This window comes from Homo sapiens, chromosome 3 (genome assembly GCF_000001405.40).
Source record: "Homo sapiens chromosome 3, GRCh38.p14 Primary Assembly".
In the NCBI taxonomy this organism is placed as follows: Eukaryota; Metazoa; Chordata; class Mammalia; order Primates; family Hominidae; genus Homo; species Homo sapiens.
Window position 1 is genome coordinate 183,325,702 of NC_000003.12, and position 16,836 is coordinate 183,342,537.

General features: G+C 41.3%; 1 protein-coding gene across 5 annotated transcripts in view; it reads right to left on the reverse strand.

The window, feature by feature from the left end:
• The window catches only part of MCF2L2 (MCF.2 cell line derived transforming sequence-like 2), a 250,579-nt gene that overhangs the window by 147,661 nt on the left and 86,082 nt on the right, over positions 1–16,836 (reverse strand). For all 5 annotated transcript variants that reach the window (NM_015078.4, XM_017005943.3, XM_017005945.3 and 2 more), the window contains exons 4-5: positions 15,839–15,929; positions 13,099–13,218 (exon numbers count right to left, since the gene is read on the reverse strand). In NM_015078.4, the coding sequence (NP_055893.4) occupies positions 13,099–13,218; positions 15,839–15,929 (211 nt within the window). The remainder of the gene's footprint in view (positions 1–13,098; positions 13,219–15,838; positions 15,930–16,836) is intronic.

Genomic DNA, 16,836 nt, shown 5'->3' on the forward strand with positions numbered 1-16,836 from the left:
GGTCTGGAGTTTCAGAAACCTATCCTGCCAGGCTGCATATTTTCTGTACCATGAGGGAGGTGTGATATCCCACACTTGCCAAAACTCTGCTTTCTCATCTTAAGCTTTAGATGACGAAGAGGAATTTTAAGTTGAAAGCGAAAAGTGAAAATTAAAAACAAAGGATTATATTAGAAGAGTTAATACTGTTAAGTATTGATCTGTAGAGTCAAAACAATTCCATAATCAAAATCCCAGCTGACTTTTTATAGAAATTAACAAACTGATTCTAAAATTCATATAGAAATGCAAAAGACATCAAATAGGTAAAACAATTTTGTAAAAGAAGAAAAAAGTTGAATGAGTCACATAAGTTTTGTCAGTTTCAAAACTTAATAAAATTGCAGTAAAGAAGAGTGTGGTAATGACAAAGGATGGACAAATAGATCAATGGGAAAAAAAAAGCAAGTCCTGATAGACCCACACAAATACGATCAATTGATTTTTTAAACTTTTTATCCTGTGAAGAGGCTGGGCGCAGTGACTCATGCCTGTAATCCCAGCACTTTAACAGGCGGAGGCGGACAGATCACCTGAGGTCAGGAGTTCGAGACTAGCCTGGCCAACATGGGGAAACCCCATCTCTACTAAAAATACAAAAATTAGCCGGGCATGGTGGTGGGTGCCTGTAATCCCAGCTGCTTGGGAGGCTGAGGCAAAAGAATCGCTGGAATTCAGGAGGCGGAGGTTGCAGTGGGCCGAGATTACACCACTGTACTCCAGCCTAGGCAATGAGAGTGAAACTCCGTCTCAAAAAAAAAAAAAAAAAAAAAAAACAAAAAAAAACCCACAAACCTTTTTATCCTGTGAAGTAATTATAGATTCACAAGAAGTTGCAAAGATAATTATAGTTTCATAGGAAGTTACAAAGGCAGTACAGAGAGGTCCTAGGCACCTTTCACCACCAATGGTTACATCTTACATAATTACAGTACAATATCAAGACCAGGAATTTGATATGCTTATAATGTGTGTGTATGTAGCTCTGTCATTTTCCCACATATGTTGTTTCCTGTACCCACCAGTACAAGCAAGATGCAAAACTGTCCCATCGCCACAAAGACCTCCCTTGTGCTGCACCTTTCAGTCATCTCCCACCCCCAAAATCCCTCCCTGAACCCCGGCAAACACTAATCTGATTTTTTACAAAGGTGCAAAGGTAATTCAATGGAGAAATAATTCTATTTAAACAAATGGTGCTGAAACAACCGGACATTCATATGTAAAAATAGGAATCTTGACCCACACCTATGAAAGTAGCCAGAATCAAAACAGAGTCACTAGTATTAAAAAATAAATAAATAGGCCGGGCATGGTGGCTCACACCTGTAATCCCAGCACTTTGGGGGGCCGAGGCAGGCAGATCACGAGGTCAGGAATTCGAGACCAGCCTGACCAACATGGTGAAACCCTGTCTCTACTAAAAATACAAAAATTAGCCGGGCGTGGTGGCAGTCGCCTGTAATCCCAGCTACTTGGGAGGCTGAGGCAGGAGAATCGCTTGAACCTGGGAGGCAGAGGTTGCAGTGAGCCGAGAGAGCACCACTGCACTCCAACCTGGGTGAGAGAATGAGACTCTGTCTCAAAAAATAAATAAAAATAAATAAATAAATAAATAAAACCTAACCAATAGGCCAGGGAAGACTGCAAAGAAAGGGTTCTCACACTTGTATGCCTGATAACAAAACTATCACAAAGGACGGCAAAAACTACAACCTGGCACACAGGCCATTGCAACATTCAACTGCCTGTCCAACTTCCGACTGGCATCGCTCTTGTTATTGATCTTTGTAGCCAAGAATAATGATCTCGAAACAATTACATAATGCTCCTCATGTTCCCTTTAAAAACCTCTGTCTCCCTCTACCTTCCTGAATAAGCACGTAGTTTACTATGTCACACATATTCCCATTTCAATGCCCTGTTCCTGAATAAATATTTTCTTTTAGAGAGCCTCTCCCTGTCTGTTATTTAGGCTGACATATCTCACATCTTATACAAAAATTAAGTCAAAATGGATCATAGATCTAAACATGAAACATTAAACTTGGAAGAAAATGTAGAAGAAAACTGTGGTATAGTAAGAAATGTATTCAGTCTTTGTCCCTGGTTCCTGGTACAGAGTTCCTAAAACTCTTATAATTTCTTGAGTGATAGGAGTATCTTGTATTATTTATAATGAACCCCTTTGGTCACACCTGAGTTTACATGAATGCGGTGACTCAGGGTGGGAACTCTAGATAGCCTCTGGATGGAGCTGGTGTCCAGAAAAAATAAGTGATTATAATTTGGAATTTTCAGCCCCACTCACTGACCTCTGGGAAGAAGAAGATTAAACTCTATAGAAACTCTAGAACAAGGAGATTTAAGGAGCTCCCAGGTTGGTGAATACACCAAGGTCCTGGAAGGGTGGTATGCTGGAGACAGCGTGGAAGCTCTGTGCACCCCACACACCTTGCCCTATGGATCTCATTCATCTGGCTGTTCCTGAGTTATATCCTTTATGATAAACCAGTAAACATAAGTAAAGTGTTTCCCTTAGTTCTGTGAGTCATTCTAGCAAATTATAGAACCCAAGGAGGAGGCTGTCAGAACCCCCCTAATCCACAGCTGGTAGGTCAGAAGTACAGGATGCCCAGACTTAAAATTAGCATCTGAAGTGGGGACAGTCTTGAGGGACTGAGCCCTCAACTTGTGGGATCTGATGCTAACTTCAGTGTCTGAATTGAATTGTAGAGCCCCTGATTGGTGTCTAGACAGTTGGAGAACTGCTTGGTGTGAAAAAAAAAAAAAAGCAGCCTACACATTAGTTGTCAGAAGTGTTGTGTGAGTAGAGAAAGTGTTTTCTCAGAGAAATTTTAGGAGAAATATTTGGGTTAGGCAAAGAGTTCTGTGATATGGCACCAAAAGCATAACCCATAAAAGAAAAGCTGATAAGCTGGACTTCATCCAAATTAAAAACATTTGCTCTGCAAAAGACACTGTTAAGAGAATGAAAATCCAACCTACAAACTGAGAGAAAATATTTGCAAGTCATATATCAGACAGTGATTTATATCCAGAACATATAAAGAACTCTCAAAACCCAACAATGTGAAAACAAAAACCCAATTAAAAAAGGGCAAAAGATTTGAACAGAAGCATCACCAAAGAACATATACAGATGGAAAATAAATACATGAAAAGAGGCTCAATATCATGAATCATTAGGAAATAGCAAATTAAAACCACAGTGAGATACCACAACATGCCTATTAAATGACTAATTAAAAAAATACCCTCGTTTTTGAAAAGGTGGTAAGAGTATGAAGTAGCTGGAATTCACATACATTGCTGGTGGGAATGCAAAATGATAGAGCCACTTTGCAAAAACAGTTTGGCAATTTCTTTTAAAGTTAAACATAAACCTACTCTGTGGCCCAGCAAACACATGTATGTGAATGTTTATAGCAGCTTTATTCTTTTTTTTTCTTTGAGACAGCGTCTCGCTCTGTCGCCCAGGCTGGAGTGCAGTGGCATGATCTCGGCTCACTGCAACCTCTGCCTCAGCAATTCTCCTGCCTCAGCCTCCAGAGTAGCTGGGACTACAGGCACACCCACCATGCCCAGCTAATTTCTGTATTTTTAGTAGAGACGGGGTTTCACCATGTTGGCCAGGCTGGTCTCGAACTCCTGACCTTAGGTGATCCACCCACCTCAACCTCCCAAAGTTTTGGGATTACAGGTGTGAGCCACCATGTTTGGCTGCAGCTTTATCCTTAATCACTAAAAACTAGAAACAACTCAAATGTTCTTTCCTGGTGAATGGTGAACAGATAAACAGGGACCTCTATAATGTGAGATAATATTCAGCAATGAAAGGAAAGAACTATGGGCATACCCAGCAACATGGATGAACCCCAACTGTTTTATGCTAAGTGAAAGAAGTCAGACTCAGACTCAAAGGCTACCCAGTATACACAGTCATGTGTCACTTAATGACAGAGATCAATTCTGAGAAAATCGCCATTAGGCAATTTTGTTGCTATTCAGTCATAAAGTGCATTTACACAAACCTAGATGGGACAGCCTGCTACATGCATGGGCTAACTGGTGTAACCTATTGTGCCTAGGCTACAAGCCTGTACAGCATGTTACTGTACTGAACATTGTAGGCAAGTATAACACAATGGAAAGTATTTCTGTATCTAAACACATCTAAACACAGAAAAGGGGCCGGGGCAGTGGCTCACATATGTAATCCCAACACTTTGGGAGGCTGACACAGGAGGATCGTTTGAGCCCAGGAGTTCAAGGCCAGCATGGGCAATACAAGGAAACCCCTGTCTCTACAAAAAATAAATTAAAAAAAAAAATCAGCCGGGCATGGTGGTGCGCACCTGTAGTCCCAGCTACTGAAGAGGCTGAGGTGGGAGGATAGCTTGAGCCCCAGAGTCTGAGGTTACACTGAGCCATGATCACACCACTGCACTCCTGCCCAGGTGACAGAGCAAGACCCTGTCTTGAAAAAAAAAAAAAAAAAAGAAGAAGAAAAAAAGGAAAGGAAAAGGAAAAGGAAAGGAAAGGAAAAACTTTTTTTAAAAAGTACAGTAAAAATAGAGTTTTATAATTTTATGGGACCACCACTGTATATGTGGTCCGTTGTTGACCAAAATGTTGTTATGCAGCACATGGCTGGAATTGCATTTGTATGACTCTCTGCAAAAAGGCAAAACTATAAGGATGGAGAGCAGATCAGTGGCAGCCAGGGATTAGGGATGGGGAGAGGGGCTGGCTACAAAAGGGCAGAGTGAGGAAGTTTTGCGTGGTGATGGGGCTGTTCTGTATCTTTATTGTGGTGACTGGATAACACCACGCATTTGTCAAACTTCATAGAACTGTACACCAAAGAGAGTGAATTTTACCTGATGTAAATTTTCAAAAACAAATGAGAGGCAGTTTCCCCACATTTTTTTTCTTCTTTTAATCTTTACAGGATAGAAATGTTTAAAAAGTTTTTATATTCTATATAGTGAAGAAAAAAGGCAGAATAATTGTGCTCATCAAACCCACAGGACACACTAAGCATGTAAAACTGGCCTTAAAACATTTTTTCTGTCTTTTCTTGGATTCTGTTTTTGTCTATTTGGCATCCTCTCATTACAGGGTCAATTACATGAGCCACATTTTCTTATTTTCTGTACTCTTGAGGCTCTGGCATTTGTGGCCTCCATGACTAGGAAGAGACTGCCCCGCCACCCCCACCCCAGGGCTAACCACTTCTTAGAGACAGGGAAGGGGTTAGCTGGGAGCAGGTCTTTCATACGCAAAACAACCAGTCTCAAATCCAAATCCCCAACCACCACCTTATCAAACTCTCACACACCAGGCCATTGTTTACCTTGCCCTAAGTCATCCCAGGGCCAGGTGCCATGTAACAAAGAGACAATCCTTATACCCCAAAGACTGCAGGAGTTATTCAAACTAGTCCATACTAAATCCTGCCTTGCTTTGCCTGCAGAACTCCAGTAAACGCTCTGTCCTAGACTTTCCTCTGCCTCCTTCTTCTGCCTCCTGACCAAAGCTTGGTGCTTCCCCAGTAGCCCATGCGGCGTGAGGTGACCCCGACCCCTGGACATGTGGATATTATAAACTTCTTCCTTCCAAGCCTGTCTCTTCCTGTGGCCCCACCAACTTTACCATACGTGCATATTCTTGTAACAATTGTTAAAAGCTAAAAATGTCTTGTTTCTTTTCCTTTTCTGTATACATTTGTGTTCTTATCTATAGATGCTTAAAACCGTTCTTTCAAAGAAATACATGGTCTTTTAACTGCACAAGAAGCATTTCCTGTATTCTGACACAAACTCCATTTTAAGCAACCAATTTCCACGATCATAGCCTCTTCAGGAGTTTTACAAGACTGCCTTGGTGACTTCACATTAACAGTTTTATGAGGCTGCTATGAGTACAGCTGTTCCAGAATAGGGAAGTGCCTGGCCAGCAACAGGGACTCAGAAACCATCTACTGGGAGGCCAAGGCAGGAGGATCACTTGAGCCCAGGAGGTTGAGGCTGCAGTGAGTCCTGATGGAGCCACGGCACTCCAGCCTGGGTGACAGAGCAAGACACAGTTTCAAACAAAACAAAACAAAAACAAACAAAAACCATTTACTACATGAAAGTACTTCCCCTCCATAGATAAAGGTAGAGGGAGGCTGTCACTTGGCTACAATTACATCCTTGACCCACCTGATTCCTATACCAGTCACACAAAATAAACTCCTTTCCCCCCAACACGTGAAAATGTAATTATCTAACTAGAAATGACCAGGAAGATGTTATAATATAAGAGAGGCTAGGAAGCTACAAAGTAAAGTGCTAATATCACAACACGTTTTAAAAATAAAGAAGATAAACTGACAGTTTGAACTGTCATTGAGAAGGCAACACGTATTGAGAAGTTAGATTTCATTAAGCTTGATAACTTCAGACTCTGCCGTTTCTGGAGCATCAGCGCTACCAGGGAGTGTGACCTTGTGCGTCAGGTGAAATGGTTACTTACGGAGTGAACTTGCATTAAAGAATGCCCTACTCAATGTGCCCAGGGTTTGGGTGACTGAGAGCTTTTTCAAAAGTTGATTTTAAGTTTAAAATTAAAAGCAGGTCAGGCAGGGAATCAACCTACACTACCACAAATAGAGGTAGCTAAAGTCAGAATATCGAGATAAAGTAGATGTTCAGTCCCTCCTAGGTGTAGATGCATCACCTGAGAAGGAGGGCATAAGTCACAAATGTATCTGTGTACATATGAGCACACCTAGATCATATGTATCATATGTATAAAACACGTGTTTTATATGCAATCAGGGAAATACGCGTGACATTTGGTCAAATGCTCAGTTCCAACTCCAAACGTTTTTGAGTGGCAAGAAGAATTGATGAGTCTTCATTTCTGAAGGGGAGTCACGAAGGGACTCGTGAAGATGATGACACGTCATCGGCTTCTTGTCAGTCTCCATCTCTTCCCAAACATCAACAGTTACTCAAGTTAGGAAAACTGAGCAAAGAACTCAGGCCTCACATTTTCCTTAAACACTCAAGTGTTTCAAAAATGAGTATTTAAAATAGAATGGGAAATTCATTTTGAGTTTGGCTAATCCCCAAAGTAGAAAAGAAAGGATTTTCAGAAATTTGATTATTAATACAGGATGGAACCAAAACAAGGAAAATAAGAGTAGGAAAGGAGAGAGAAAAATGAGAAAAATCCCTTGTCTAAGATGGCAAGTCTTCACTGAGATGGGTTTAATATTCTTTCAGGGTAATTTTATTTTTATTTATTTTTTGAGACAGAGCCTTGCTCTGTCGCCCAGGTTGGAGTGCAGTGGTGTGATCTCATCTCACTGCAACCTCCGCCTCCCAGGTTCAAGCAATTCTCCTGCCTCAGCCCCCCGAGTAGCTAGGACTACAGGCATATGCCACCATGCCTGACTAATTTTTGTATTTTTAGTAGAGACAGGGTTTTGCCATGTTGGCCAGGCTGGTCTTGAACTCCTGACCCCAGATGATCTGCCCACCTCAGCCTCCCAAAATGTTGGGATTATAGGCTTGAGCCACTGCGTCCAGCCCTCTTTCAGAGTAATTTTAATTAAAGCTATTTTTTGTTAATTTTGAACAGATAATATTTATAGATAGTAATAAATTTGAACAGAAAAAGTCTATCTAAATAGAAAAATCCTCCCCCTTCCCACTTACTCCCAGCCATCTAGGTGGAGATCCAGAAGGCAACCACTTTAACCAGCTTCTTGTATATCTTGTGTATCCTTCTCAAGATGATCTATGCACAATCATACATATAGCCCTCTTATTTTATCCAAATGGGAACTTACTGGATACACTGTTCTCCCCTTGACTTTACCCTCACTTAAATATACATCTTACATGGACTGAAATTTAAGGTATCAGTATGAAGTTGTGATTTCTAGGATATTTGTAATTACAAATGTGTACATGTATATGTGCATATACGTGCATATATTTACAGCTTCTGTCTGCTGAAAGAGCCTAAAAACAAAGATACCAAGTAGTAATAGCACATCTTGCATCCAGATCTTGGACTCTAATATTTTCAACACCAAAAGGAACCAGGGCTCTTAAGAGAAATGGCCGGTAACAAAGCTGGATCAGAGCATGCCTGAGAGGGGCCTAGATGATCATATTAGGCCAGAAAGTAAGGAAGTGCCAAAAAAAAAAAAAAAAAAAATGATAGGGACATGTCACAAGGACACAAGAGTCAGCTTGAAGGGGTTCCCGCTGGCCAAATCTGGGACAGCTGGAGCACCACGATAATTGAGAATGGCAATGAATGACAAACCACTGAAAAACTAAGAATCCAAAACGATAATAGACAAATAGGTGAGAAGGGAAAGCTCTAGCTTACAGTAAAATACCAACTTCTGATTAGTAAATGATGAGAGTGCTGGAGTTGGATAATCATTATTTTGTAACCAATAAATAAAGGTTGTTTCAGGCAAGAATCTTTAATGGATACTAAAGAGAGATTGGACTTTTTTGAGGAGCAGGATATTTGCATGATCTTAAAGTGTCTCTGCAAAGATTGTTAGTTGCAAGGGAAAGAATCTATTTAATATTTGGGAAAGTGGACAACACTTTGACTAGGGGATCAAAATTCACATCACCAATAGGGGACAGATGAGCACCGTGGGCCTCCAGGCGATACTCCAAGAAGGACATGTATCACTTAAGTAGCATAAAAGACAAAGAAAGGGCCGGGCATGGTGACTCACGCCTGTAATACCGGCACTTTGGGAGGCTGAGGTGGGTGGATCACCTGAGGTCAGGAGTTCGAGACCAGCCTGGCCAACATGGTGAAACCCTGTCTCTACTAAAAAAAAAATACAAAAATTATCCGGATGTAATGGCAGGCACCTGTAATCCCAGCTACTCGGGAGGCTGAGGCAGGAGAATTGCTTGAACCTGGGAGGCAGATGTTCCAGTGAGCTGAGATTGCGCCATTGCACTCCAGCCTGGGCGACAAGAGCAAAACTCCATTTCAAAAAAAAAAAAAAAAAAGACAAAGAAAGGGCCAGGCACAATGGCTCATGCCTGTAATCTCAGCCCTTTGGGAGGCTAAGGCGGACAGATGGCTTGAGTCCAGGAGTTTGAGACCAGTCTGGGCAACATGGTGAAACTCCATTTCTACAAAAAAATTTTAAAAATAGCCTGCATGGTGCAGCGTGCTGGTGGTGCGTACCTGTGGTAGCAGCTACTCAGGAATCTGAGGTGGGTGGATACATTGAGCCCAGGAGATGGAGGCTGCAGTGAGCTGTGATGGCACCACTGCACTCCAGCCTGGGCAACAGAGAGAGACTCTGTCTTAAAAAAAAAAAAGAAAAAGAAAAAAGACAAAGAAAGGCTATGAAAATGTTTTAGATTAAAGAAAACTAATGAGATATGATAACTAAATCCACGACCCAATCCTAGAGTAGATCTTCTACATATATCTTGTATATATGTATTCATATTAAATATATTGTGTATGGATCTCTTTATATGTATATTTATTCTAAGTATACAGATAAATACATATGCATTACAATACATATACAGAAGCAATACATATAAATACATAAACATAGTCTACATATAAATACATAAACATATTCTAAACATACATATACACTATAATACATGTTATGGTTTCAATGTATGTTGCCCTCCAAAATTCATATGTTGAAACCTAGTCACCAAGGTAATGATATTGGAAGGTGGGGCTAGGAGGTGATTAGGTTATGAGGGCTCCTTCCTCATGGATGGGATTAACACCCTTAGAAAAGGCTTGAGGGTAGCTGAGCATAGTGGCTCACACCTATAATCCCAGCATTTAGGGAGGCCCAGGCAGGAGGATAGGTTGAGCCCAGGAGTTTGAGACCAGTCTGGGCAACACAGCAAAACCCCCTCTCTAAAAAAAATTAAAAAATCAGCCAGGCATGGTGGTGTGTGCCTGCAGTCCCAGCAACCTGGCCAGGATGATCGCTCAAGCCCAGAAGTTCGAGGCTGCAGTGAGCTATGATCCTAAGCTATTGCACTCTAGCCTGGGTGACAGAGAGAGACCCCATCTCTAAAATCAAAACAAAACAAAACATAAAGGGCTTGAGGGAGTGAGTTTGCTTCTTTTGCTCTTCCATTCTCCTTCCATGTGAGGCCAAAGCGTTCGTCACCTCCCAAGGAGGGAGCAACAGCATGCCATCTTGGAAGGAGAGACTGGGTCCCTCACCAGACACCAAACTTGGTGGCACCTTGATTGTGGACTTCCCAACCTCCAGAACTGTGACAAATAAATTTCTGTTCTTTATAAATTATTGAGTCTGCAGTATTTTATTATAGCGGCACGAACAAACTAAGGTAATACATACATAATACATGTAACTGTAAAAATATTATTCTAAGTAAACATAAATATATAACATTCTTATGTGTATATATATATCATATAAGTATATATAGAGAGAAGCAAATGATAAGAAATAATCAGATGATGATAAAATGTTAACAATGGGTGGGTGAATCTGGACAAAGGGCATGTGATATTCTTTGTGCTATTCTTATTCTTGCAACTTTTCTGTTGAGTTTGAAATTAGTTTCAACTAAACATAAAACATCCAAGAATATATATTAGAAAATGTAATATGTAATCACTATAGACTCATGTTATCTATTTTTTATTTTTCAATGGACTAAAATGCTTAAATTTTAAGGATAGAGTTCAATTCATTTTGATAAATGTATATAGACATGTAACACCACCCAATCAAGATATGGAACCTAGCCGGGCGTGGTGGCTCCCACTTGTAATCCCAGCACTTTGGGAGGCTGAGGTGGGTGGATCACCTGAGGTCAGGAGTTCGAGACCAGCCTGGCCAACATGGCTGGTCTCGAACCGCATCTCTACTAAAAATGCAAAAATTACCCAGGCGTGGTGGCGGGTGCCTATAATCCCAGCTACCCAGGAGGCTGAGGCAGGAGAATTGCTTGAACCTGTGTGGGGCAGAGGTTGCAGTGAGCCAAGATTGTGCCACTGCACTCCAGCCTGGGCAACAGAGTGAAACTCCATCTCAAAAAAAAAATATATATATATATATATATGGAATATTTCCTAGAAAGTTCCTTTTGTCTCCTTCCAATTAGTCTCCACCACCCCTCATCCCTAACAGCAGCTACTGTTTTGATTTTCTATCACAACATAGTTTTGCCTATTTTGAAATTTTTCTAAAAGGAATCATAATCATACTGTTCAGTGTCTAGCTTCTTTCTCTCAAGAGAATATATTTGAAATGTATCCATGTTGTTGAACGCATCAGTACTTCACTCTTTTTTATTGCTTAATGGTATTTACATTATATAAATGTGACACAACTTGTATATACTTTTCCGCTGACCAGCTGATGGACATTCTTGTGTATGTCTTTTTGTGAATTTGTGTTTTCATTTCTTCTGGTTGGGTCATAGGTTAGGTGTATGTTTAAAGAAACTATCAGCTAGGCACAGTGGCTCACGCCTGTAATCCCAGCACTTTGGGAGGCTGAAGCGGGTGGATTACTTGAGGTCAGAAGTTCAAGACCAGCCTGGCCAACATGGTAAAACCCCGTCTCTACTGAAAATACAAAAATTAGCTGGGCGTGGTGGCAGGCACCTGTAATCCCAGCTACTTGGGAGAGGCAGGAGAATGGCTTGAACCCAGGAGGTGGAGGTTGCAGTGAGCTGAAATTGCGCCACTGCACTCCAGCCTGGGCACCAGAGCAAGACTCCATCTCAAAAAAAAAAAAAAAAAAGAAGAAAAAAAAGAAACTATCAGCCGTTTCCATTGTGGTTGTACCATAACTTACCACTTTTATTGGCTACAAAGTATTTCACTGATTGGGTAGCTAATTATTTAACCAGTCCCCTATTGTCAAGCATTACGTTATTCTCAATCTTTTACCTTTATAAACAGCTTAATAATGAATATCGCTGTCTAAGCAGCTTCATGCAGATGTGTGAAAATATCTGTAGAATAACTTTACAGATGGGTGAAAGAGGGTGTACATTTGAATTTTCTATAAATACTGATAATTAGTCCTTCACATTGCTCATTACCAAATCCATTCCTACCAGTGAAATATAAGAGTGCTTGTTTTCTCATATCTGTTTGCCAAAGTTATAGGTAAAATTTTGAATGTTTTAGTTTTAATTTGTTTTTCTCTTCTGAGAATCACAATGTTGACTTTTTACTTTAGTTTCCTGGATTTATGTCACCCCTATATTTTAGATCCGTGTTTTGTTTCACCTGTACAACTTAGCTTCCTCCCAAGTCCCTTTCTATCATCTTAGACACCACCTTCAGACTAATTTTACCATGTCACTTCCCACCTAGAAAACCTTCCCTGGGGCTGGCATGGTGGCTCATGTCTGTAATCCCAGCACTTTGGGAGGCCGATGCGGGTGTATCACCTGAAGCCAGGAGTTCGAGACCAGCCTGATCAACATGGAGAAACCCCGTCTCTACTAAAAATACAAAAATTAGCCAAGCATGGTGGCGCATGCCTATAATCCCAGCTACTTGGCAGGCTGAGGCAGGAGAATCACTTGAACCCGAGAGGCGAAGGTTGTGGTGAGCCGAGATTGTGCCATTGTACTCCAGCCTGGGTGACAGGAGCGAAACTCTATCTCAAAAAAAAAAAAAAAAAAGAAAAAGAAAAAAGAAAACCTTCCCTGGATCCCCACTGTCTACTGAATAAAATCCAAAACCTGCCTCCTCACACTGAAGATCTAGTCCTTGTTTCTTACTCTTTCCTCCAAAAGATTACTGTTTACGTGCTCCAACAAAAATGAGGCTTCCCATGGGCCTCAGTCCATTGTGTACTTCCTGCCTCTATGCCTTCACACATGCGGTTCCCTCAGCCCAGAGAACCCTTTTCTCCCTCTCTACCTGTTGAATCTTATCTTGCCCAGAAACCCTGCCCAAATGCCATCTTAGCCAGAAGCCCTAACCAAATGAGACAAGATGAAAGGTCTTGCTTACCGGCACTTTCGTTTTAAACTCATTTCGATAGTATTTAATGCCAATGTCAGTGAATGTCCTCTGGATAAAGCGAGATGGACGAAGGATGAATATGAGCTGTAAGTTTCCTGGAAATGCCACCTGCAAGCATCAGGAAAAGTGTCAGGAGGAGAGAGAAAAATGTCATATTCGTTACCAGGGTCTACTTTGGTCTCCCCTTGCCCAAGATTAAGATCACAGAAGGAAAAGTTAAAACGGATGCCATGGATGTAAATTTCACCAGATTTCAGGGCTAAAAGAGACCCTAGAGGTCAGATAATCCTAACCCCTCCTAAAAAAACAAAGCAAACCAAACAAGCAAGAAAAATGTTTTCTGATTATAAAAATAATTCATATTATTTATAGAAAAATTGGGAAATTAATAAAACTATACATTAGAAAGTGAAAACTCACCCATGGGTTTTTATAGCCATACTTAATATTTCCATCTGTTCACTTATAGGATGTTTTCTCTGTTTAAATATCTTTACCATGGCTCATATTCTTAAAATATTTTGTAACCGGCCTTCTCACTTAATGTTATACCATAGGCTTTTATTCCTGTTATTAATAAATTCTTTGGAAATATTATTTTTTACGGGTGTACAATTTATTTAACCAATCCCTTATTGTTAATCATTTAGGCTTTTTGATAATTTTACTATTGTAAATAATACTGAGACGAACACCTTTATCCACATCTTGGAATATTTTCTTAGGCTAGAGTCGTAAAATAATTACTGAATCAAAGAGTTCGTATTTTAAGTATTCTTGATGTATATTATTGCTAAGTTGCTTTCAGAAAGTATCGCCCACATCGCAAGGCAAGATTCTGAGCAGGTTCATGTAATGCTTCGGGGCAGACTTAGGAACCCAGGTCTCCATGGAAACTGCCATGGCTTTCCATTCTTCCAGTGGTTCCCCCAAAGCAACCTCCTATGGGGATTTTTTTTTTCTAAATCAGGTCTTTACTCCAGACTATTTTGATTCATTAGGACTGGGATGAAATCTAGGTATCAGTATTTTCAACGAGCACCTGAAGAGATTCTGGCAGGTAGCCAGATTTGGGGATCCCTGCACTACAGCATGTTTTACATATAAAGTGATCAACGTAATTCTGGGACAAATTAGGCTCAGACATTAGATTACTCATGTATTATGTATGGACCCTGGAAAGCCAGAACTCTCTAGAGGCCAGACCTCTGGAATAGTCATGGGCATCAATCATGGCTGCAGTTATCCCAAAGATAAATCCTATATCCACAACTAAACTAAAGGGAGAAAACAATCCATGCGGCAATGGGAGGACTCTCTTCCCCATCTTTAAATGCAAGCTCCTAACAGAAGAACCTTGCGCTTTGTTGTGCCAAGACGGAAAGTATTAGCTGAGACATAATTTGTGAATTTGGATGAGGCTCTAGAGCGATCTGAGAGGGACTCCGTGTGTGTGCATGTTTGCATGTGTGACTCCTTCTGCAAGCAGGTTTAAGTGAGGTTTCAAATATCCCTCTCCTGTCCTGCTTTACCACACTACCACATCCATCCTCTTTAGCCAGTCCCAACTGCCCCAGAGGGCCTATGCTCAGGTAAAAATGCTGACTTAGCTGGCCCTAAGGTGTCTCTGCTTGTGGTGGAGTTCACAAGTCTGAGGTCCCTACAGAGGAAGGACACATCTACTTGCTGAAAGACAACAGATAGGGATCAAAATCAGACTATAAGCAAAAGGAGGCCAATCCAAGGTGATATAATTTAATGCAAATGCAAGCACACCTCCCACCATGCTACTTAAATATCATTGTGTCTGGTTTTACCATTGTCTTTCTAATATATGAATAAATAATTTGGCTAGGTGCAGTGGCTCAAGCCTGTAATCCCAACACTTTGGGAGGCTGAGGTGGGCAGATCACTTGAGGTCAGGAGTTCGAGACCAGCCTAGTCAACATGGTGAAACCCCGTCTCTACTAAAAATACACAAATTAGCCAAGCGTGGTGGTGCACGCCTGCAATCTCAGCTACTTGGGAGGCTGAGGCAGGAGAATCTCTCGAACCCGGGAGGCAGAGGTTGCAGTCAGCTGAGATTGCGCCACTGCACTCCAGCCTGGGCGACAGAGTGAGACACTGTTTCAAAAATAATAATAATACTGAAATAATAAATACTGTCTTAAATTGAATTGCCCCCAAAGCAAATCCTCAGACAAGGATTTAAGTACAGGTAGTTTGTTGGGGAAGTGATTCCAGGAAGCACGAATGAGGGAGCAGGGAGGAAGACAACAATGAATAGAGTGGCAATGTCTCAATGAGGGGGTTACTGCCGTAGGCAAAGGGGGCTGAGACCCTCTGGGATACTGTGTGGAACACACCTCAGAATTGCCCCACTGCGGATCTGGAAGCTGAGATATTTATCTACCAAATCCTTTAACTCAGTGGTTGCAGGTTACTCCCCGGGCATTAACTTTCCAGCACTCCCCAACTGCCCCTCTTCAGTGACCAGAGAAGTCAGTAAGGTAGAGAGACTTAGGAAGTCTTTGACATGCTCAGAATTGTTTGCAGGTGACCTGCAGATGGCAGAGGAGATAGGGATGTGACATAACAGCACCTGTTACAAAGACCTTCCCAAAATTTGACATAAAATAATTGCCTTTTCCCCAGGACTTTGATATGAAATAGTTGAACAGACAATTTAAATGACTTTTATAATAAAAGCACAAAAATAAATATTTACAGCTATTCGTGTCAAGGATGCCTTTACGGAGCTCCACTTGTCTCTTCGTCTGTCGATAACAACAATGAATCCAATGCTGGCAGCCTCCACACTGCAAAGAAGGGTGGTCAGTGTCAGAGATTAGGTGAGACCCATATGCTCCATGTGGCTCCCACAGCAGAATACACCCTGAAGCCTCCACAGCACTCCAGGCTCACCGTGTAAACACCCTGCACAGCACAACCAACTCCCTCTCCCAGTCTAAGCCTGGTAATCTTAACAAAATAGATACTTTGTTTCTCAGACCCACTGGAGGACTCCCTTTCTGGCTGGCAAATGCATGAAACACCAAAGGAACACGTGTTCAAGCCCAAAGGAAATATGCACGTGTCAGGTGAGCATCACATATTCCCAATGTAGGCGGAGGACCTTGAGGTTGAGCTCTGCCATCCTTCCGCTCCCAAAGCAAACATTCACAGAGCTATCAGTACAGTAACACGCTCAGCTATGAGGCTCTAGAGCAGTCTGAGAGGGAGTAATGAGAGAGGTGTTTAGAATTAACACGTCAGTGGGAAAAGCAACCCCCTGGCAGTGCCTGGCTATAAATAGGCCAATAGACAATATGCTTGAGAAGACATCATTGTCACTAAGACCAAAAGGAAGCTGTTTGGTCCCCTCTCAAGTCCTCACGAAATTCTCACAGAATCTTTCGAAAGTAGAATTCTAAAAGTGAAAACATTTTTTTTCTCTCCTTTGGGAAGAAGCACGGTACAGAGGAAAGAGCAAGGTCTTTGGGGCCTGGTTCAAACGCTAGTATTGCCACTTACTAGCAGTGACACACAGAGGAGTTCACCTAACTCTTCTAAAATCCGGTGCTCTTCTCTGTAAAATGAGAATCATATTACCAGTAATGAGATGGTTAAAAGCACAGATTCTGGAACCAACTTGACTAGATTTGAATTCTGAATTCTATTTATATATTGTGTGTGCTTTTTGGGGGTTGAGGGGTAGTTACTTAA